The 25,375-nt window shown below is 37.5% G+C and overlaps 1 long non-coding RNA gene across 1 annotated transcript in view; it reads left to right on the top strand.

Annotated features, from left to right (window-relative positions):
- The window catches only part of LINC02215 (long intergenic non-protein coding RNA 2215), a 31,905-nt gene extending 7,112 nt beyond the window's left edge, over positions 1–24,793 (top strand). The window contains exons 2-5 of the long non-coding RNA NR_104998.1: positions 6,440–6,578; positions 8,061–8,128; positions 10,994–11,052; positions 24,551–24,793. This is a non-coding gene — a long non-coding RNA (long intergenic non-protein coding RNA 2215). The remainder of the gene's footprint in view (positions 1–6,439; positions 6,579–8,060; positions 8,129–10,993; positions 11,053–24,550) is intronic.
- Positions 24,794–25,375: the final 582 nt, after the last annotated feature.

Genomic DNA, 25,375 nt, shown 5'->3' on the forward strand with positions numbered 1-25,375 from the left:
ACTCCTGCTTGCACTGACCAGTTTTTTCCTGAGCTTGCCGTGAATAATCAATAGCAACCAACACATGCTACTAAGATTCTTTTTTCAACCTCTTTTCATAAGGTTACAAATGATAAATGATTTGCCTTCAAAATCATTAGGTAAATGATTTGCCTTCAAAGCTATTCCAACCAACATTCTTACCAAATGTTTTGCCACTGTATAATATGAATCACCATCATTCTAGCCTCTGACAAGTTTATTTGCCACCTTCTATTAAGCAGCTAGGCCAATGCTACCTATTTCATAGTTTTGTTATGCCGACTCCCTCTTCTTAGGTCCTAATTTCTGTGTTTGATGGGATAAATTAGGTTACGCTATGGGAACAAACTCTCAATGTTAATAAAAGTTGATTTCCTAGCTGACATGAAATATCAATGCAGGTTGGCAGAGGGACTCTGCTCATCATTTTCACTCAGGGATAAACCTGACAGGGCTACATCTTAGCAGGTACTTCTACAATTACAGTAGAAAGAAGGAAATGTGGAGAACCACTAACTGGCACTGGCTCTTTACATTTCTGCCTGGAAGTGGCACATATCAGGTCCACTCATGAATTTTTAGCCAAGTAGGTTACAAGGCCAAGATTAACTTCAGGAGTAGAGGGAGTATTATTATCTGTTTTCACATCATTGTCTATTTTCACAGGCAAGGAGGGCTAGAAATACTCAGTGAACAATCAATAATGACCACCACAGTTACTGTGCCTTTCCATTCACCCTCCTCCCCTCCTTTCCTCCGCCTATTCTCCCTTCTCCTTCCCCTTCCTTATGCTCCTCTTTTTCCCTCAGCTATCTCTCTAAAGGTCTTGAGTTGACTTTAATAAAACTTTTAACATCTTTTTCTATCCCAGCCTCAAGTTCCCTCATATACTAATCACCAATATAAACAGGCTTGCAATTCACATGTACTAAAGCGAAAATTCCTGGAGTTGCGTAAAAAGTATCAGAAACAAATGTGAATAGGCTCCAATTTTACTTAAAGAAAACCTGCAACTTGGCAGTTTGTTCAGATTCCTGGAGAGAAAGAATTCATTATTATCCACTGGGTCTGTTGTATGAGCCAAGAGTGAGGATGCTTCTTCCTTACACAAAATTCATATCCTGACCCTACATGAAAGTCAGGGTTGTTGGGGCTATTCTGACAAACCCAAAGCTATGAATTAAGACACTTTTACTGACATGTCGACCCAGGTATCCACACAAATGAATACTCCTATGAGCTAATCACAAGCTCATAGGGGGCTTTTAGTTATCACTTCCAGCCAAAGACAGTTACAGCTCAGTGTAAACTAACTGGGCCTGGCAGAAATGCTATCTTGCTCAAAAACGTACCACTATTCCAGATGATCTGTTTGACCCTCTGTTAAAAAAAAAAAAAAAAAAAATTTACTTAACTTTGGGAAAAGTGGTTTAAGTGGTCTCATAAACTTTCTTCTTAAAAATTTACCCAAAGAAATCCTATTAAAGTATTCCCTTTAAATTCTTAGGGACTGGGGAACCTTGCAATCAAATTCATTTGTATCCAGCAAGACATCAGCTTCTTGTGGTAGAGCCCATGGCTTATTTTGTAATGCAATGTTATGGAATAATTGTTTTAGGTCTTTTAGAACAAGACCACCACCAAATATGAAGATAAATAACTCAGGTGCTAGTCTTGGTTGTTCCATTTTTGGGAGGTGAACTTTTCTAAGATAGGATTTCCTCAACTGCAGAGTATATTGGCTGAACTGGGTTATGGGTAGAGTGCATCCTAAGTTAATTTTCTGTGACTGTTTTCCCCTAGGGCCATCAGAACCCACAGATTTAACATTTCTACCAATCTTACTCCAAATTGTTCCAATACGATATCAAAGTTGAAGCATTTGAACATTCTTTCAATTAGTCAAAATAAACTCCCTAAAAGGTTATTTAAACACTATTTAATAAAAAAAAATCATCATCATGACAACTCTCCTTCATGTCCTCCCCATCACTTCTACCCTACTCCACCACTGAGCCAACTTAGTACTGGACTTGCAAACTAATCTGGCCTTACTTAAGCACTTTTGAATTTTATTAATTTTTAAACATTTTAAAAATTATTATTATTATAATATTATTATTATTATGGAGACAGAGTCTCACTCTGTCACCCAGGCTAGAGTGCCATGGCACAATCACAGCTCACTGCAGCCTCAACCTCCTGGGCGCAAGCAATCTGCTCACCTCAGCCTCCTCAGTAGCGGGGACCACAGGTACGTGCCACCACGCCGGGATAATTTTTTTTTTTTTTTTTTTTTTTTTGTAGAGAGGAGGTCTCTCTGTGTTACCCAGGCTGGTTTCAAACTCCTGGCCTCAAGTGATCCTCCTGTGTCCGTTTCCCAAAGTGCTGGGATTATAGGTGTGAGCCACCACACCCAGCCAAGTTATGAATTGTAAAATCATCTTCCTCAATCCCCCACTTCTGGGCTGCCATGCAGAATGTGAGCAAGAAATGTGAAGGCTTATTTCCTAAGATGAATGCTGAAAATTTTTTCAAAGTGATCGTGGGTGGCTTGGACCGCCTCAGCTTCGAAACCCACTTTTTCCTGTTTTCACACTTGACTTTGTGTGTCACTGACCAGCAGGTATGAGAACTGAGGTTCCTTCAGCTGTGCCAAGTGCAGCCTCTTGTTCCTCCTAGCTCTACTCCAGTCCCCTATCAGTAAAGCTTTGCTTCAGATGAAGTCCTTCACTTACCAAAATTAACTGCTGCTGTGTCCAAATCTAGGTAGGAAAAAATTCACCTTTCTTTTTTCCTGCAGCAATCTTGCACTCTGAAATATCACTACTTCAGAAATAGACCCTCTCCAGTTCTAAACTGTTAGTCCTTACCTCTTCTACCTTAAACAAGATGTTTTAAAATAAAATATTTTACTTATAAAAATCCCTTTATAACTTTTTCTGATTTTTAAAAATGAAACCTATCAATTTTGTCTAGATTTTCCTAGAAAAATAATCATAGTTACACAGCTGGTATTTAAACTTCTATAAACCCTTACGTATATATTTCATTGTATATATTTAAAACATTGTATATATTTAAGACACAACAACAAAGCACTTAAGAACATAGCTATTTTCTCTGAGATATTCGACCTATTATTTGGATATACAACTATCAGAAAGAGGAGGAGTGCATGGTTATGACATCAACATTGGATATTCAGTTCTCCCGTAAATGTGGTGAATTCAACAGAAGAAAAAAAAGGAAGGAGAGAAGAAGGGATACCTTTACCTTACTAACTCTTTTCACTTAAAAAAATAAAGCCTCAATATTAAGATCACTAAAATTTATTTTAAAAAGTATTCCTAATCTCTTTATACTGTGTTTTAAAGACATTCAGTTAGAAAGAGATTTAAATAAATACAAATATCTGCACTACTATTAGTTTTATTTGTTATTAAGTGTCAACAGCTCAAACACTGCTTCTCACCCTGGGATTCTACCCCAGGTTTGGACAGACTCCTCTTTTAACTTGCCCTGAATTAACCTGGAGACCAAAGTTTGCCTGGGTGTCTTCACACTTCTAGTTCCTCTAGAGTTGCTTTATATGAAAAGCCCTTACAAACTGCTTTCATAATGTCAAATCATCCTTCTCCCAGTTTTTTTTTTTTCATTTAAAAAAGAGACCTAGCTAATTTAAAATTAGTCCTAAATAATGTATTTAATTTCTTCATATAGAAGGAGAGCCTAGGCATCCTTTCTGCTATCAGCACTCACCAGAGTGAGCATGTGTGAGCTCGCCCTGTGGGTGGCACCTGAGCTGCAATGAGTGCTCCAGCGTGCCTGACTCTGAGGCCCGAGCCCGTGCTGCACGTGTGGTACCCATGTTCTGGACAGCTTGCCCATCAACACCAGGCCTGACATCCTTTCTGTGGGAAACAGACACATAGAGCCAAATAGCATGTCTCGGTAGTCAGTCATTAACATGAAATCTCATGATCGCCATTTTATAAATACAAGACAGTCATTTCTACTTCTTTTTATCTTATTTGTAGCTTCAGCCTGTTCTTTTTCTGATTTAGATTGAGTAGGTCCTGTAAACAAAAGATTAGATACACAACTGATGTCTGAAAGAGTTTAGAATTATAAAAACAAGCTTTCTAAAACTTACCATTTAAAAATACATTGCATCATGAATTAGAAATCTCTAAACAATGATACAATGATCTCATCACCAAACAGGGATTTCCTGAGCCTTCCTGGCTAACTCGGATGTTACTGAGAAATACTTCTTCCTTTCTCCTTATATTTCCCTCCTGTGAAGCATGCTAATCAGTGTAATCCCAGATCACTTGTCCCAGTCTCACACTACTCCTAGGGACCAGGTAAAATGGGGGCAGTAGAAGGATGCAAGACTCAGCCCCCTTCCTTCTTCTGTACAACTAGCTTTATCTGAGGAAAGCATATGTTTGGCATAAGTTGTGTAGGGGGAGGCCTACCTCACTCTAATGCTAACTGGATTTGAACGGTTATGTCTGCCTAATTCTGGAGTTCAATATTAACCTGACCATTTCAATAACAGACTTTATATTTGATATTTTGGTATCTACATTTTCTCTGGTTTTTTGCCAACTTATCCAAAACCTAGAAAGGCAAGAGGGTTTGTTATGTTTTTAATGGGGGCACCAAACTTATGTGATACAGCATATACTTAGGAATTTAAAAGGTTCCCCCTTTAAATAATACAAGTTTAAAAAACATGTATTATTAGGCTTGAAGACTTTGTGGATAACTGGAAATAAATGTGCATTGTTATATTCTGATGACTAGAAGCACTCATCTGCAAGGAAATTGTCAGTAAATTATGAATTGTGTTATATACATAATTCAGCATTAGAATGTTGGAAACGCAATCACACTATACAGATGATTCACACCTAAACCATGGTGCATTGAAGAAAACTAGTGTGCAAAAGAACTGATTTAAAATACATTGTCCTTTCTCATAAAAATAACGTTAGGGTTCAATTTGTAATCCCAACGTGAAAGACAATATCAGATAAATCAGAGCCCTGATCAGTAAATATCTATTCAAATAATTCAAAAGAAATAGGTTAAAAAGATCCTTTGGAACTACTCACCCCAAGTATATTCTATGAAACATGAATCTATAAGATGTTTCATTCAATATAAAAAGTTTCCTTGATCAATGAAGCTTAGGGAATAAATTATGCTATTATCTCTCCTCCCGAAGCTTTACAATGTAGACTAACATATTAAAGGCTCTGTGAAGCCCAGCATAATTTGTTTTAACCCAGCATTCATCAAACACGTCTAATTGCAGAACATTATTTTCAAGTAGCATCAATTAATTCCCATGGAACACACTCTGGGAAATGTTATAATAGCAAGTATTATTAAGATGTAACACCCAGGCTGGGCGCAGTGGCTCACGCCTGTAATCCCAGCACTTTGGGAGGCCGAGGCAGGTGGATCACGAGGTCAGGAGATCGAGACCATCCTGGCTAACACGGTGAAATCCCATCTCTACTAAAAATACAAAAAACTAGCCGGGCATGGTGGCGGGTGCCTATAGTCCCAGCTACTCGGGAGGCTGAGGCAGGAGAATGTCGTGAACCCGGAAGGCGGAGCTTGCAGTGAGTCCAGATCGCGCCACTGCACTCCAGCCTGGGCAACAGAGCGAGACTCCATCTCAAAAACAAAAAAAAAAAAAAAAAAAAGATGTAACACCCAAATTCCATAAGGAACACTGATAGATAGCATATTGCCCCAGTTCTTGCACTCTTGGTGTTATCTGAAATGCAGGGGTAGGACTCACACTCCACAGAGTTTCATCAATGAATTTAAGTAGCAGCAAAATTTATATAATGCATATATCAAACATTACATTATGAGACTGCATAAAGACTGAGACTTGAGACTATCTGGGCACTTTACATGTATAAAATCCATTCACCTCACCAGCAATCACTGAGGTGGGGACACTGGAACGAACTTGACTCTGTCTTCCAAGGACCTTCATTGCATTCCTTGAGTTAGAATTAGCCAAGGATTTTCTCTCAGCTTTTTCCCAAGAAGGCCATCAACTTTCCTTCCTGCTACTACCACACCTGCCTTTCTAGTTGCCCAGATTGTAATGTCTCAGCTTCCCACCATCTGGATAATGACAGGCCATATAGAAGTTGTTAGTTGTCCACCTAACTCTCTACTGCAGTGGGAATTTCTTTAAATTCCATCTGCGGTTATCTATTCTGAGAGTCATGGTTCCCAAACTGTTTGCCAAGGTGTTCTCGGATACTACAGTAATCTCACAGGTAACTTATGTATATTATTTTTTCATAAAGCTGTTAAGTTGTTAGGTATAAATACTTAAATTGTTTGGAGCTATGTACTTAATAAACACAACTGCTAGGTTTTTCTTTTGGCCTAGGCGTGACTGTGAAAAATATACTGAATCACTAAGGGCACTAAGTTTCTGAAAGTGAGAAAGTTTGAAACCATCTGCCTCAGAGGTTTACAGAAAAGAAAATATCTAAGAGATTTCAGCCTAGGTAAGGAAACATTCATCCACAGATTTATCTCCCCCTTTTGTTAAAAAAAAAAGAAAACTAAAACTACCATAACAATGTTAAAAATCTAAAAAGTTAGTATTATATATGAAAAGATAACTCTCTACTGATATACTGAAACCAAAAAAATAACAAAGAAAGAGCTTTCTAAGTGTATAAAAACTTTATCTCTATGTCAGAGAAAATAATTCAATGCATTCTCCATTTTGAGTCTGAGGAATAAATAAGCCAACGAGAGATAAATACTCACTTTTAATGTTTTCAAGGAGAGAAACCAGTGAAAAGATGGTTCAACTCTGATGCACAGAAGCTGGATGGGTCACAATTGCTACAACTGGCATGATACCTATCTCCTGAAACCTGTTCTTTCTCCTTGGTTCTCTTCAAGGTCACAGTACCCTGCCACTCAGGCAGCTATAAGAATAGTCCCCAAGGAGTGTTAACATCTTTTAACTCTAAGCCACATTCCTCCCTAAAGAAAGTGTGCCTGAATTTGTGAAAGTCTGCATCCTGGAGCCAAGTACAGGAAACCAAGAAGCTAAGAAAATATTCCTGCCACTATTTCTATCTTTAATGCATAGCTTTCCATTCTTCTTTAAGTTCTCAGGGTTAAGGAGCTCAAATAATGTAAGGAGAACAAAAATGAACAATAAATTATTGAGTTTAGTCTGCAAATCCACCCAAGGCATGAAGATTTCCAGAACCCTGCCTAATGTCACCAGAGGATAAGAATCTTAATTACTTACTCCAGCAGTCATCATCTTCTTTCCATTCTCCAGCCTATTGTTTTTCTTCCCTTGATCAACTAGTCACATCCATCATCAAAGCCTGCTCCAATGACCTCTCTCTCCTTTTATCAGCACTCATGCCTATCAATCTGCAAATACTAGCACTACATTACCAGCTCGCTTCAAAGATTTCACCATGATCTTCTATAGGCATTCACAATCATCCATTTGAGTTCCAAATCTTAGAGAAACTATTAGAAATTTTATGTATCATCTTGTAACCCAACCCCTTGATTCTTCAGATGATGGAAATGGGTAACATTAAATGACTTGCCTGGGTTCACATAGGCTCACACAGATTTGGGGAAATATAAGTGTAGAATGTATAGAATCTACCTCTTCTATCTTGCTATAGGACATACTTTTTTCGTAGAGATGAGGTCTCCTTATGTTGCCCAGGCTGGTCTCAAACTCCTGGGTTCAAGCAGTCCTCCTCCCTCCTGCCTCCTAATCCCAAGTGCTAGGGTTACAGGCATGAGCCACCATGTCCAGCCACTATACTTTTATTAAGTCTCTAAAATAAGCCCAAATATACACTGAATATTAATGCATTGTAGGGATCATTTATTGCTGCCACAGCACAGGGGGTTTTAAGAGGGTTCAATTCAGCTCCACGATAACACCGTCCCATTCAACTGATTGATCGGCGCCCCGCTACCATCTTCTGGTCTTGCAGATATGCTGGAGTGTTGTGATACGAGGATGGACGTTCACATGGAGTAAGTCAGTCACTGTACTGGACAGGTATGTCCCCTGATGGAAGGACACTACTCTAGCTGCCATTAATAAAATCTTTCCTGTATGTCCATAGGAAGGAGAGTTAATCTAGTCTTTTTGGGCAGATGTGGACAGGGCACCCTCTGGTGACAGCTGACCAATATTGCAGGTCAATACAAGAACCACAAAGATTCTGGGTGCTGAAACAATGACACTACTCTTCATAGTCTATTCTTGATGGACCTTTGTTTCCATGATAGAAATCTTCTCATCAGGAATTTTTCTTTACAAAAGTGCCTATGATCCCATTGTCCCAGAAGCACCAACCCCCAACTTTCTCTCGGGGCTGTGCTGTTAGGAAGCATGACCCAAACCCATTCTTTTCCTAGGACCCATGGTCTCTCTCGCCAATTTAGAGGATCTTTCAGACACAGGGAAAATTTCTTCTCTATGTTTATCAAAAACAATTTTTCTGTGCCTATAAATTCCCTTTTCTTTAGTACATAAAAGGTGCCTTGAAAAGTGTCTGATACACAGTAAGCACTCAACAAGCGAGCGGTTATTATTCTTTCTCTGTAGTCTTTTATAATAGGCCTTGATAGTGCAAGGCCTTGATTACTACCAGATCTAGAGCCAATCAAAAACTAATAATATCTGATGTTAATTAAATATTTAGTATATGCATACATTGGTTTAGTTGCTTTATATGTATTAACTCACTTAATACCCACATCTATCAGAGGTAGGTGTAACTTTTATTCCCCTTTTATAGATTATAAAATTGTAGCACAGAAAAAATAATTTTCCCAAAGCCACACAGCTAATCAGTGCTAGAGAGGGGATTTGAACCTGTGTGGTTTATCTCCAGGGCTCATGCCCTTAATTATCACACGAAACAAACTTTCTAAATCTCCCTTTCCTTGAAAGCAGAAAGAACTTGTACTTTAGACCCTCAGTGAAGCAAAGAATGGAGTTAAGCTTATATTAAAACTATGTTCCTATTAGTCCACACATTAATGATGAGGGGCCCCAAAGTATTGCAGCATATAAAATATGCAATTCTACTTTATAATAATTTTGAAAATTCTAAATAAAAATTTTTGGTTATAATAAACATTAATCCAACAGTTGATTAACAATACTTTGTATTGCCTTTTAGGATTCATAGTGTTACAGAAACCAAATTTTCACAATGTTTTAAATGCACATTTATTATTTAAAAAATATTTTTACACTAAGTACATTGTTATATGTGGTTTTGTCCAAACCCTTTAACTTTTCCACTTTCCCTGAAAGAAAAGTTAGATGTGAAATCATTTCCCAGTGCATATTTATCAGAAAGTTTTATGCCTAAATGATATAATCCAATATCTAGAGTCATTACTTTGAGAAAAATATTGATTTTAACTGTAAATGCCTAGCATTAAAAACATTAATAAGGGTTTAAAATTTATTCATTTGACTATCATGATCTGATTAACCACAGCTCTAAAAAACACTTAATTGTATGTTTCTGGGTTTTGGGGTTTTTTTTTGGTTTTTGTTTTTTTTTTTTTTTTTTGAGACAGAGTCTCACTCTGTTGCCCAGGCTGGAGTGCAGTGGCATGATCTCAGCTAACTGCAACCTCTACCTCCCAGGTTCAAGCAATTTTCCTGCCTCAGCCTCCCGAGTAGCTAGGATTACAGGTGCCCACCACCACTCTCAGCTAATTTTTTGTATTTTTAGTAGAGATAGGGTTTCACTATGTTGGCCAGGCTGGTCTCGAACTCCTGACCTCAAGTGATCCACCAGCCTTGGCCTCCCAAAGTGCTGGGATTACAGGCCTGAGCCACCACGTCTGGACTTAATCATATGTATTTTAACTCATGGCACCTAATTCTGCTATTAGATTTAAAGACATGTCTATAATGCAAAAATATCAGCCTAGATACATGTGCACTAGCCCCTACTGACATTTTCAACTGGCAAGTTGTCAAAATAAGGCCCTTCCAAGGATTCAGAGTCCCATCAAGCATATGTGCATCAAGCATCAATGCCACAGCAGGCATTAGGATCATGTATCTGGGTTCTCCTGGTATTTTAGATGCTCAACAGGCCACACCAATGCAACATAACCTAAATTTCACGTGCCCTCTCCTCCCAAATCTCCTCAACCTCCATCTGCTCTGTTATCATTAGCTCTGATGGCCATGGTAGAAACCTGTCAGATATGCTTCCCCTTCCCATCACTGGGTACCTAGCTTAACGAGGTAGAACTCACAAGTCACCAGTTCCTAAGGGTTATTTTTCCCTAAGAGCCCCCAAACTCAGCTTCCCTTGTCCTGATCTACCTTTGCTCAGATACTTGTAATTTCTACATGAATTTCTACAGCAAAGACCTCCCTGAGTTCGGGCTTATACTAATTGGTATATACACAGAATATTTTTGTTGTTGTTGTTGAGACGGAGTCTTGCTCTGTCGCCAGGCTGGACTGGAGTGCCACGATCTTGGCTCGCTGCAACCTCCACCTCCCAGGTTCAAGCGATTCTCATGCCTCAGCCTCCCAAGTAGCTGGGACTACAGGTGCCTGCCACCACACCCAGCTAATTTTTGTATTTTTAGTAGAGATGGGGTCTCACCATGTTGGCCAGGATGGTCTTGATCTCTTGACCTCGTGATCGGCCCACCTCGGCCTCCCAAAGTGCTGGGGATTACAGGCGAATGATATTTCTTTTTGTGGAAAATATTATGAAACTAACAGTTGCACAGTATTGAAAACACCTGTGTAACACAGAAGACATGTGAGGAAAAGTGAGTCTCCAACTCACCACACTTCAGCCCGCTTACTAGAGGCCATTACTTCTGTATCCATGAGAAAGTTCACACATGTTTTCTTTCTCTTTTAATACAGATGCAAACAAAATGTTGAACTTGGCCTTTCTGGTCTTCACCTCTCTTGGGACTGCTCAGGTAAGTGCAGGGCCAATGATCAGAACAGCCACTCCTTCAAAATGCACTTATGGTGCCCCTTGCCACTGGTCAACGATCTTACAAAAGTCAACTTCCTCCTGGACATGAAACAGCTTTAACTGAAGTGGTGAAAACGGCCTCCTTCCTTAGGTTTAAGAAGAGAGCACATAGAGGTGGAAGGTTTTTTCCTGGAGAGGCAATTTAGCTTATGGATTAAGTACACAGACTCTAATTTGGACAATTCAGGTTTGGTTCCTGGTTGTATCACTAATACACTTTGTGATCTTCAGCACAGACTAATGCAGGCAGAGGTTATAATCTCTTGTGTGCCTTTGTTTCTTGTCGGCACAGTAGGAATGATAACAATAGTATCTACTTCATAGAGTGGATATAATGATTTAAAGAGTTAATATTTGTTATTTGCTAATAACAACGCCTGGTGTATACTAAGTATTATTAAAACGTCTGTCATGTAAAATTTAAAGTAGTCTGCGAAATGCATTATATAAACACATACCCTGACTCAACGTGTTCCCACTCAGCTTTCTTACAACTCCTCCTCCACATCCTATCTTTGTAAGTAGTGGAACCACATGCAAAGATCACAAGTTACCAAATTAATCATTTCATGGTGTGGGTAAAATTTCAGTTTAAATCTTCAGTATTTGGATTTCAAATTAAGTGTATGATTAAGCATTAATGGTGTGTGATGATAGTTAACCTTAAAATGGGAAATATTTTTACAAAGAAATCTTTATTCCTTGTGAGCCAGTGAAAAATTATTTATTATGTATTAAATTTTTGCTGCTGCACAGCAACAGCAGATTGATGAGCTGTTACGGGCTGAATTATTCTCCAGGTTAAAGGTGACTTTTGGTTGTATTAATCACCTAGTGTAAAACTAAAGTAGACACGAGAGAGCCTTGCTTCTGACAACCCCCTGCACAGCCCTGCCCAGCCCAGCCCAGGCCAGCTTACTCGTTGTGAAAGCCGGTTCTTTTCTTGAAATGTTGGGTAAACCAAGGTCCCACTAAGATTGTCTTCCTTCATCCTGTACTGTCCATCAAGGTTCCTCATTTACACCGACTTTAAGTTTGAATCAAAAATTAGATTGAAGTTTAAAATGTCATTTTAAGCCAAAGAAAAGCCAACTTATCATTCTGAAAATTCCTCATGTAAAGAACGCTCCCCTCAGGAGCACAGCTCCACGCCACTGACCTGTTCTTTCTCTTCCTCCCCATCTCCTCCTCCACTTGACTCTCTTATGTGGTCACTTATCCACAGAAATTGCTATCACCCTCACATTTTAAGTAAATTACTATTCCAGTAAAAGTGCTAAATGCTGCCTAGGAAAACTGAAGCCTGTACTTCTCCTTGGTAATGAACTGTTTTCAAAGACAAACAATATTACTTATTTTCATTTATCCAGCACTATACCAGGCTCCGAGGATACAAAAGCGAATAAGATAGAAATGGTTTGTGCCTTGACAGAGTCTACATTCTTCTGAGAGGGACAGATAAAACAAGTTATCAGTCAACAAATATAATGCTCACAAATTATGATTCAATTAAATGATAAAATCAAATGGTGTTTAAAGAAGAATCTGTACTTCAGAGCAAGCATTCTCAACCTTGGTTACCACATTAGAATCACATGAGAAGCTTTCAATAATCCCAAGTCACATCCCAGCATGAATTATAAAATATTTGTGGGGTAGGATCAGGCACCACTTTTTAAACAACCACTTGGCTCCCAAGTGATTCTAAAATATAGCCAAGATTCAGTATCATCGTTCTACTCTTACAGAAAAATATTATAGAATTGCATACACCTAAGAGCAATCTGGTTCCTTTCTTGATTAAACTTAATTTATTATTAAATACTAGTAGGGTGACCTTAAGTGAGCTATTTAGACTATAATGCTTATGTGCCTATAAAAATGTAAACAACACACATGGAAGCTTTCTGGGGTGCAGTTTCTCATGGATGATTGTGTGTGATAAAACCAGTTATCTGAAGTTTCTCAGACATGTGTTCAGAGTCTTAACTAGCACTATTCAGAATGAACTACGGCCCATGGCCACCCATGCGATAGGTTACTAATATTCATTTTCATTTCAAGTCATTTCTCTTGGTTTCACATATAAGGACTACAGTGTACTGTGGTTAGCAGGGTAGAGGAAGCAGATAACTGATATGCCAAACTGATGTGCTGGAAGTAGTAAGAACACAACCCCTACCACAACTATGGGAGCCCAACCTTGGATGCCTATCAGACAATTATTACATCTTGATTAATGTAATAATCAAGCCAGGAGAGGTCAAAGCATGCCAGTACTTCCATACTTGGTTATAAAGATGACAAAAAAATAATAGAATTATTCTGGTGGATGGCGACATACATCCACAATGTGGGACTGACCACCTGAAAACAGTTGGTGTAGTTATATGGGCCACTGGATTTGGAAAATCCAGAAACAAAAATTTCTTATTCTTCCTCCTCCTGTTACTCCTTATCTCAGTGTAACCTTCAAATTTCTCCCTTCCTGAGAACAAAAATAGGTTCAATTCTCTCCGATTCAGCAATCAGACTCCAATGATATTACATCTCATTCAATGCCAAAATGGACTGGATTGGAAACAGCAACAGTACTACTGTCCCTGTACCTCAAGATCTTTACTTCAGCTGGTAGGTACAAGATGGGCAAAAGAAAACAAATACAATGATAGCATAATGACATTTCCCAAATCTCAAAATATTCTCAACTGCAATTTAGGTTTAAAATTCAGTTCTTGAATTAGTCATTTAAGTATTTGTCCCAAATCAAAAATTAGGATGGCATTCTATACTTTACCAATTTTAATTTCTCTTATTTAAATGATTATGAAATAAAGAATCTATTTTGAAAACTAATGTAATAAATATAACAGATGCAGGAGGATAGCCACCAAGTGGCTGATGCACATACTAGTGAGGGAAAATGCAACATATTTGAGACATACATTTCAGGACATTCTCTAACTTCACCGATTTCTGTTTGGAGGATGCGCAATTGCCTCTGGGCACATATTACACAGTGAAATAGAAAGAGACAGTACCTGCCAAAAGAATTTATAATCTTCAGGAAGAAGATAAACATCCCACACTCACATACTTGTTAGTATGCATAAGCACATAACCTAATTGTATGAAAAGGATTTAATATTCTGGGTGCCAATGCTCCATCCAGTTAAGCATCAGTGAGCACGAATAAGGGAGCTCAGTTATTCAAGAAACTTTTTTGGTAACTTTCTACTAAAACCTAATGTTTATAAATTATCAGGAGGAAATGCACTATATGCCAGGGAGTTCAGTAAATATTCTACTTCATCTTGACACCAGGCATCAGAGTACACCCAAGGACAAGTAATAATCCTTGGAAAATGTGCAGATAGCTGGATCATGTTGCTTAAAAATGGAATATCCTTTCTCACAACGAAATGCCTCAAGGAAATTTTGTGCATATCTCAGGTCCAAACACTTTGTGCTTCAGAATCCCTTAAGCATGTGCTTCTCTCCCCTTGGTTTGGTGAGAATGCATGGTGCAGAATTCTGATATAGTCTTTGTGAATCCAGTATATGATATCATTAAAATAGCTCAGATAAGTCAGTAAATTAGGAGGAAAAGGTAATTCTAATAATTTACTGAAGGCACAGAGATGTCATAACCCATGGAGATGCCAGGGCATATATCTCAGTGCACAGCTCCAGAGGTCACTATTTACTTGGAATTGGGAGTTCCATTCCCTCAGGACACAAGAGGAATGAGGCTTGGGAAATTGAAGAGTAGAAGGCCCAAGCTCCTACTCAAGCTCCACTTTTACCTGTTTTATATTTGGCTTATAGGTAAGATTTAAGGAAAGCCTGAAAACATTGACTTAGGTTACTTTGTGAGAAATCAAAATGGCTTAGAAAGCTGTTTGTCTTCTACTTGTGTTTTTCCTACTCATTCAAGAAAAGTAAAGAAAGGAAAAAGGCAAAACATATATTGGGCACATATATATGCCACATACCCTAGCAAAGACCAAGTGCTTTAACATGCATAATTACAACTAACAGCAAAACAATCCTATGCTTTATTATCCAAATTTGCAGAATCTCAGTGAAAACTGAGATCCAGAGAGGTAAGGGAGCTACCTTGAGCACAAGCAAGGTAGTAAGCAGAAGAGTGGAAAGATAAATCCAGGACTCTAAGATTTATGATCTTGCATCTATAACATCTTGCTTTCCAAGATGACAGGACTCATGGTGGCAGGGAGCGCTCTCTGTGCACTGCACAATGGCAACCTGTGGAAATTAAAATGCTGTCTTTTAGGGTCAATTTATATACCATATTATTCCAGGTTCTAGTATAGATAAATAGCAGCAGAAGCCAAATATTTAAGACAATTTCAATTTCTATCCATTAAATAATTTTCCATAGAAATTAGGGAAACCACAATTGTCTTATTTTAGCATGAAAACCCGCTTATTAGGGAGAATAAGTGGAAACAGAATCCCAGGGAACCTGCAACCGCTCTAATACAGTCCCTTCCCTATAGCAGCACTGAGATAAGGTCTTCCTTTCTGCCTTCCACCAGCCCTGCCTGGCCTTCCCTCCTCTTAACAATGCTTCAATTCTATAATTTTGCTTCAGCGTTAAAGGGGCAAGTGAAAGCTCAGAGAGCTCAAGGATCTGTGTTTTTCTTCCATTTTAAATGAGAGCTCCATAGCAGAATACTAGAGTTTCATGCCCAGTGGAGGATGCAATACTGTGTAATCACTGTTTTCTTAGGCTGTGTTTGACATTGTTCTGTTTCTGCCCTATTTGAATTTTCTACACCCCCTTTAGCCTGAAATCATCATTATATCCCCAAGTGGCACCAAAAGTAGAGCAACATAAAACTACTACTTGATCTACATTTAAGGAGTATCTTTTGAAGATAAAAATTCTTCAGCTTCATAAAATTTTAAGGCTTTTATTTTCTTATTGCCATTTGTCATCCCCCTTTCTCAATGCTATTCATTGGGCCAAGCCCTCTACTACATAGAAATAACAAGTGAAAAACATGGGGACAAAAGGAGACAAGAAGAGGACAGAAGGGTAGTGTTTAGGGTTGTAAGAGTGACACCTTTGTGCACAGAACCTAAAGTGGAGCGTGTTGGGGAACAAGGGGCTGTGAGAGAGAGAATGTCTGGCAGCATCTGAGAATTTGGGATGCAGGGACTATCAATGTGAATAAATGCATCCAGCATACATATATAAATAAGGCAGGAACCATTGAGGGTGAAGTAAATTCAAATTTTTGAAACACCTACCTGCACCAAGTCCCAGATATACTTATCAAATCAGTGTAAACAACTCAGTAAACATTTATAAAACTAAGAAACATTTTCTCTCACACCCAAGAATCTCAATATCCTGAGTATCTAGTGGGTCCACTGTCTGACTCATTTGCTTTTTCTCCTTCCCACTAGCAGACAGAGAGCAGGTTAAACAGCTCGTTTAAATGAGGTTTGAAATTGCACGTGAACTTTGATTATCATAGTCACTCCTTTCTCCCATTTTCCTAAACAATCGAGCTGACTGCACAGAGCCATTTTAAAAATAAATTGGCATTCTTAACTACACAGCTGGCATAGATTGTTACTCACCCTTGGTTACTCTGACTTGCAAAACTGATCTATGTGAAGATGTAAAAATCTCCATATGTTACTGTGACATTCTTAAATGGTCACAGACTTGGGCTATGAAAGCACATCTAGCAATAAAGGGTCATCCTCAGCTAAAATGTTAATTCTTTTAGCAGCTGAAAAGTCTGCCCTCTTGGACATACCTCAGAGCTGAAACCTTATTACATAAGGCACAATCTCATTGGGCATGCAGAGTAAATAACCTCGTTAAGAATGTAGTGTGAAGAACTGCAGTTCAAATGGGGTCAAAGGGGGTGAACAAAGTAAGAGGAAGAGGCAGTCAAGTGTAAGACCGCTATGGGGTGTAATTTATGGTCTTTAATAATTTGGGCATGTCAAGTGTTAAGAGAACTGTTTGCTTGGCACCAGACAGGGGCTAATGAAAGCACCCAATGAGGAAACCTGACTCAGGATGCTGAAAACCTGCCCCAATGAGCTAAGGGAATGATGGTACAGGGCTCTGCAGGGTCAGCTGGCCTGCTGACCAAAGCTGTCAGAGAAGCCAGGCTTGAGGCAACTAAGAAAGAGCTTAATTATCCAGACTTTTTCATTAGAATTGGGACTAAACAGCAGGAGAAGTGTGCTGGACCACCAATTAGGTTACTTAGAAGGTTACTCAGTTTAAGATGAGAAGTAGAGGTGAGGCAGAGCCTGGAGGAGGCAAACATCAAAAGCCCTTTTGGCCATCAGGGGGTTCCCCTTCCTACTGTGGACCAGGCCATTCCCATGACCTAACACTTCAGTAGGTCTTCATTTCTGGCACCATTGAAATTCTGGCCTTCTCTCTCAGAGAAGAATGTCATAACCCATGATACCCACTGAACTTTAGTCAGTGCAATTTTAAGATATTTTACTGCACATTGAGTTTTACTGCCAAATGCTATTATTATTACAATTCTCTTTTTAAGAAAACCACACTATAACAAAAGCATGTTTTTCTAACAGCTGCCCTCATCAGAGTTCACAGAATGAACTTCAGTGGCAGGATCACTCAAGAAGACATTTGAAGCAGAAAATATTCATTCTGGCTCCCACTTCATTTATGTTCCCAGAGAAACCCTTCTCCACACTCTGAATACATCCTGAATCTCTAACAATAAAAGCCTGAATCATTAAGCATGCTAGCACTAGACTATGTCCTAAGTCACTCAATCACTATGGAAAATTTGGTATATGACAGAATTTAAGAGAATTTTAGCCACTCGACTATTAAGATCTTTTTTTTTAACTGTAGTGTTAACTACAGACACTAGTTGGCTAAATACTCTAAACCTGAAATATAGAAAATATATTTAAAATACAGACACTACCTGAAGTACACAAACTCCATACCTGAAATACCTAAAGAATCCTAGCCAAGAATAATCCCAGAACCTTACGTCCTCACTTTCGTGTCTTTGTTTGGAAGATATATTCATATTTACCTACAAAACTTTCCAAGATTTTTGGATCTCCTGCTTCTGGCCATGAAGAAGTTGGCAGAAAAAAATAAATTAAATTTGTTTGAGTTCATTGTAGATTCTGGATATTAGCCCTTTGTCAGATGAGTAGGTTGTGAAAATTTTCTCCCATTCTGTAGGGTGCCTGTTCACTCTGATGGTAGTTTCTTTTGCTGTGCAGAAGCTCTTTAGTTTAATTAGATCCCATTTGTCAATTTTGGCTTTTGTTGTTTTAGACAACAAAACACCATTGCTTTTGGTGCTTTAGACATGAAGTCCTTGCCCATGCCTATGTCCTGAATGGTAATGCCTAGGTTTTCTTCTAGGGTTTTCATGGTTTCAGGTCTAACATTTAAGTCTTTCATCCATCTTGAATTAATTTTTGTATAAGGTGTAAGGAAGAGATCCAGTTTCAGCTTTCTACATATGGCTAGCCAGTTTTCCCAGCACCATTTATTAAATAGGGAATCCTTTCCCCATTGCTTGTTTTTGTCAGGTTTGTCAAAGATCAGATAGTTGTTGATATGCAGCATTATTTCTGAGGGCTCTGTTCTGTTCCATTGGTCTATATCTCTGTTTTGGTACCAGTACCGTGCTGTTTTGGTTACTGTAGCCTTGTAGTATAGTTTGAAGTCAGGTAGCGTGATGCCTCCAGCTTTGATCTTTTGGCTTAGGATTGACTTGGCAATGCAGGCTCTTTCTTGGTTCCATATGAACTTCAAAGTAGTTTTTTCCAATTCTGTGAAGAAAGTCATTTGTAGCTTGATGGAGATGGCATTGAATCTATAAATTACCTTAGGCAGTATGTCCATTTTCACGATATTGATTCTTCCTACCCATGAGCATGGAATGTTCTTCCATTTGTTTGTATCCTCTTTTATTTCATTGAGCAGTGGTTTGTAGTTCTCCTTGAAGAGGTCCTTCATATCCCTTGTAAGTTGGATTCCTAGGTATTTTATTCTCTTTGAAGCAACAGTGAATGGGAGCTCACTCATGATTTGGCTGTTTGTCTGTTATTGGCGTATAAGAATGCTTGTGATTTTTGCACATTGATTTTGTATCCTGAGACTTTGTTGAAGTTGCCTATCAGCTTAAGGAAATTTGGGGCTGAGACGATGGGGTTTTCTAAATATACAATCATGTCATCTGCAAACACGGACGATTTGAATTCCTCTTTTCCTAACTGAATACCTTTTATTTCCTTCTCCTGCCTGATTGCCCTGGCCAGAACTTCCAACACTATGTTGAATAGGAGTAGTGAGAGAGGGCATCCCTGTCTTGTGCCAGTTTTCAAAGGGAATGCTTCCAGTTTTTTCCCTGGATATTGGCTGTGGGTTTGTCATAGATAGCTCTTATTATTTTGAGATACTTCCCATCAATACCTAATTTATTGAGAGCTTACAAGAAAAAAACAACCCCATCAAATAGTGGGCGAAGGATATGAACAGACACTTCTCAAAAGAAGACATTTATGCAACCAAAAGACACATGAAAAAATGCTCATCATCCCTGGCCATCAGAGAAATGCAAATCAAAACCACAATGAGATACCATCTCACACCAGTTAGAATGGCAATCATTAAAAAGTCAGGAAACAACAGGTGCTGGAGAGGATGTGGAGAAATGGGAACACTTTTACACTGTTGGTGAGACTGTAAACTAGTTCAATCATTGTGGAAGTCAGTGTGGTGATTCCTCAGGGATCTAGAACTAGAAATGCCATTTGACCCAGCAATCCCATTACTGGGTATATACCCAAAGGATTATAAATCATGCTGCTATAAAGACACATGCACATGTATGTTTACTGCGGCACTATTCACAATAGCAAAGACTTGGAACCAAGCCAAATGTCCAACAATGATAGACTGGGTTAAGAAAATGTGGCACATATACACCATGGAATACTATGCAGCCATAAAAAATGATGAGTTCATGTCCTTTGTAGGGACATGGATGAAGCTGGAAACCATCATTCTCAGCAAACTATCGCAAGGACAAAAAAAACAAACATCGCATGTTCTCACTCATAGGTGGGAATTGAACAATGAGAACACATGGACACAGGAAGGGGAACAGCACACATCGGGACCTGTTTTAGGGTGGGGGAGTGGGGAGGGATAGCATTAGGAGATACACCTAATGTTAAATGACGAGTTGATGGGTGCAGCACACCAACATGGCACATGTAAACATATATAACTAACCTGCACGTTGTGCACATGTACCCTAAAATTTAAAGTATAATAAAAAAAAAGAAAATTAATTACCTATTTGACATTAAATATATTTTAATAGCTTTGAGAATTTTTACTGTAAGCGTTTTAATTTTAATTGACAAATATTTATTTTTGCAACAGTACTTAATAAGTAAAAATATGTATTTTAATATATATATTTAATATATATTTAATATATATATTAGCATTCAAATAAATGTTTTTCTTTCCATTTTTACACTTCTGTGTTAGTATTTCATACTTCAAACCCAAGGAAGGTCATAAGTCTTGCTGTTATGGTAATATATTCTGTGTTAAAACATTCTCTATTTTAAAACAGGTATGTATGTATGTATGTATATATTTATATGCATATACACATATATTCCTTTCTTTGTTATGAGATGGTTTTTCTTTCAGCTTAAATACATTTTTATTTCAGTGTTGGTTTGAGGGGAAAAGCTAAATCTACACTGTTTCAGTACAACTTAATGGTAGAATAGAATATGGATAAGAAAGAACTTCAATAATTTTATCCTTTCATTACAATTTATTGTCTTGGTATTTGTTGGGGTTCGGAATGGGGAGGGGTGGTGGTCTGTCCTCTGCATCATGGCAGCTTTCCTTCCAAACAGAAAATGAGCAGGCATGAAATGCAGCCTGACCCAGGATAATAGCTCAGGATAATACATGCTACTTGGTGGATTAATAATTTATAAGATTTTTTCCATCTTTGCTTGGAATACAAATGAACATATTCTTGTCTCACTTAAAGTGATTTCTCACTCGGGGCTAAAGAGATGTTTAACACCTTAAATTCTATGGTCTTTGCTTTTCTGATTATATTACCCAGGAAATAAGCTAAACAACTGGAGTGCTTGGCAAGAGAGTCACATTCCACATCCCAACAACATATAAATAATCTCCATTTACATAAAAGTCCCAAAAGGTTAGAAGGTACAGCTTCACCATCATACACACACACACACACACACACACACACACACACACACACACACACCCCATGTCAATATGACATTTTTCAGCAAAGATTTCCATTCCACATTAAATGTGTGTATTTGTGTGTGTGCACATGTACTTTGCATAACAGCAATTTCATGTTTCCAAATGCTATATTCATGTTTTCTGCCAGCCAGCAGGATAGTCCCCTGATGAAATTCTGGTGTGGCAGGAGGGGAGGTGGTGCCTGCCCACAAGAGCACAACGAAAGTCTAGAGCCTGTATTTTGTGCTGTAAGTTGACCTAGAGAGAAAACATTTTGTTGTGGACAGATACCTTTGAATACATCATTAGAGATAATTATATTCCCCCTTTAGGCAAGTGTTGAGGTTAATCTACAAATATGGACTGCCTCTTGATTTCTATTAATTTGGTTTGCTCTTTGATGATGTTGATTAACAACATTCATTTTAATGAGGGAATATCCCTCCTGCAGGCCCCTTCCTTTCTTACTTTGCCTGGTATTGGTGCAGTCACTGTTACAGAATGCAGTGACATCATAACTTCTGTGATTAGGAATAATTCCATATGTAAGTAGAGTCAAAGATAACTAAAATCACTGTAATACTTAAGAGATTTTTGTGTTCAAATATTTTTGTTAAAAATAAACATACTACTTTTTAATGAAATAAAATAAAAATATTGTTTGTGTTACCTGAAAAGAAAGAAGGCTTTTTAAAGGCATTAATAAAAACATATGGGCAGAGAGCAGAAAGAAAAGATGTTTAAGACCAAATAAAAATTGAATTCCTATAATCATGTAGCAAGAATGAAACTTAAGCCCCAGGCTCTCAGAGATCCGAGAAAAAGGCTGAGGGTTTCAAAGTGTAATCCCAGTTGAGAAGATATTCAGCTAACCTTGTAACTACCTAGGGTAATGAATGCCACCTCAAACACCCATCAAAAGGCAACTATCAGGAGCCAACAGTTTTTTCTTACAACTGGTCTTACACACACAGACACATGCTCTCACACTCACATAGTGTCCCAAATGTATTTGTAGCTGTGCTCTTTGAATCATTCACCATTTTCCCTAGTCCTTGCATCTAAAGGACATACAAGACAAACATTCTAACTCTGTGATTTCCAATATTACAGTCAAATTCTGAGAAAATTTCACCTAAAATAAACAGCAGTATGTTATACCTAGCTATTCTTTTTGCAAAAATTAGATTTTTTGAGCAATAATGTTGGAGAGAGCTATAGAAGCTTATTTGGAGCTTACTGTGGTCTTGCATTTTAATTTGAAAAGGAGAATAACACAACAGAATCAGTTGAAAACCTATTAAAATTAATTTTTTTAAAGTTCAGTAAAAATCTCTAGTACAAGATACATTTTAAAAAATCATCCTCCCTAAACTGCCAAAAACTAGTCAGAAAATATATTGGAATAATAACTCATATTTACAACAGCAGTAAAAAACATGATACCTGGCCAGTCGCAGTGGCTCACTCCTGTAATCCCAGCACTTTGGAAGGCCGAGGCAGGTGGATCATGAGGTCAGGAGATCAAGACCATCCTGGCCAACATGGTGAAACTCCGTCTCTACTAAAAATACAAAAAAATTAGCCGGGCGTGATGGCGCACGCCTGTAGGCCCAGCTACGCAAGAGGCTGAGGCAGAAGAATTGCTTTAACTAGGGAGACAGAGGCTGCAGTGAGCCGAGATCATGCCACTGCACTCCACCCTGGGCAACAGAGTGAGACTCCATCTCAAAAAAACAAAAACAAACAAACAAACAAAAATGATACCTAGAAATAGTTGAAAGATCAAATGTGTATAATTTACATGATGAAAAACAGAGTTTTCAAAAAATATAAAAAGGGAAGACAAAAAATAAGAAGAAATTCTATTTTCTTGGGGAAAAAAAGGCTTAGTCTTATAAAGACGTCAATTCTTTCCAAATCAATTTATAAATTTTGAGTGATTTAGATCAAAATTTAAATGAGGGATTTACTTTTATTGGAACTTGGCAAAAATGTTTAAATTATCTGGAAGAATAAATAGGCAAATATAAATAAAAAGAAAGTTGATAAAGAATAAAAACGAAGAAACTAGTTCAATCAGATCCAGAAACATATTATAAGGGTACAATAATTAAATCTGCAAACAATATTGAGAATCAATAGCATAGAAACAAACCCGAATGTGTAGAGTTGCCTAACAGAAATGTAATATGAGCCATATATAATTTAAAATTTTGTAATAATAACATTTTTAAAGTAAAAGTGAAATAGCATGTTTATGTTATTTACATATCATATAAATATATCATATATTCATATCATATATCATATATATAAAATATATATTTACATATCAATATAATATATATCAATATAGTATATTATGTATCATTATATAACATATATCATGTTGATATATTGACAAATTATCATGTCAACATGTTATAAATACCAAAAATTATTGAGATGAGTTACATTTTGTTGTTGTTCTAAGTATTTGAAATCTACCATATGTATTTTAAACTCACAGCACACCTCAGTTTGGTCTAGCCATATTTCACATGCTCAACAACCAAGTACTGCTAGCAACTACTCTACAGTGCAAGTATAAAGAAAATTAATACATGATAAAAGAAGTACAATAAGTTCAGTAAGTTATATTAAAGCAATTTTCTCCTTTGATTGAAAAGAGAAAAAATAAAAGTTTAGCTATTACACATATCTCAAACAATAAACAGTATAAGCTCAAAGGAGATAAGAGTTAAATGCTTTAAAAAGTCAAACTTTAAGACTCAAAAACAATATAAGTCGTTCTTTGCCAAATCTCTACAGAGGGAAAAAAAACTCCAGCATTAAAAGCAACATAATTCTCAAAACGTGTAGTCAACAGATTTGATGATGTAAAATTTCAAAACTTTTTCATATCTAAAGTCAAAAGACAACTGATAAGATCAAATGTTTGCTAAAAATATGACAAACAGGATTTTAATCTTTTTGAATAGCTCATGTAAAACCCACCTCACTAGTAATCCCAGAAATGTATATTTAAACAAGGCTATTTAATGTTCCTTTCTTCCTCAGCCATCGCTAATGCCAGTGTGTCTTCTTGATCTGTTTTCATTTTTCTCCTCTTTGATAGAACCATTGTGGGTGTGGCGATGCTTAGCAGGTACTCTGACATCATATCTTCTGCCATGTGGAAGAATTCTGTGTATAAACGGACTCAAAAATAACTACAATTATTGTAATACCTGAATTATTTAGTGCTCAAAGAATTTCAAGAGAGACAAAGAAAGAGGCAGAAAGAACCATGGCATACCTGAGTTGAAAGGACCTGGGACATCTAAAAAACAATGAAGGAATGAAAATAAACCTGCTACACAAAGTCAAGGTACTTCTGTTTTCTAAATCCTCACAACTACAGATATCAAAGGTGACCTCAAATGTTCAGCTGCTGCAATGGTATATAACAACAAATAATACAAAGAATAATGATCAAAGAAATAATTTTTAACACCAATGTTTGCAACAGTGAAAGAAAAGCATGAGTAAGACATAGGACCCAGCCCACTCAAATCATAATGAATGTTGCAACTGTTCACACAGTATCTACTACGTGCCTGGTGCTACCTAATCTAATTCCCACAATAACTCTATGATGTAGGTATTGCAAATACTCTCATTTTACAAACAGGGCATCTGAGGTACAGAGTGTTAAGTAACATTTTTAGGAACACGTTGTTAATAAACTATGGATTAATTACTATCCTGCCCATAGGAGACTTAACCACATTCTAAAAAGCAGACTAAACTTTAGCGAATTAAATATTTAATGAAAGCTTATTATGTAAGCATATTAGTTTTAAAGAGGCCCAATTTATGACACAATTGAGCTTTATTTTATATGCTAAAGTAATATTTGTGATACTGTGGAATTCTTTACATATGCCAAGCTAAGAAGTGC

Source organism: Homo sapiens, chromosome 5, assembly GCF_000001405.40.
Source record: "Homo sapiens chromosome 5, GRCh38.p14 Primary Assembly".
In the NCBI taxonomy this organism is placed as follows: Eukaryota; Metazoa; Chordata; class Mammalia; order Primates; family Hominidae; genus Homo; species Homo sapiens.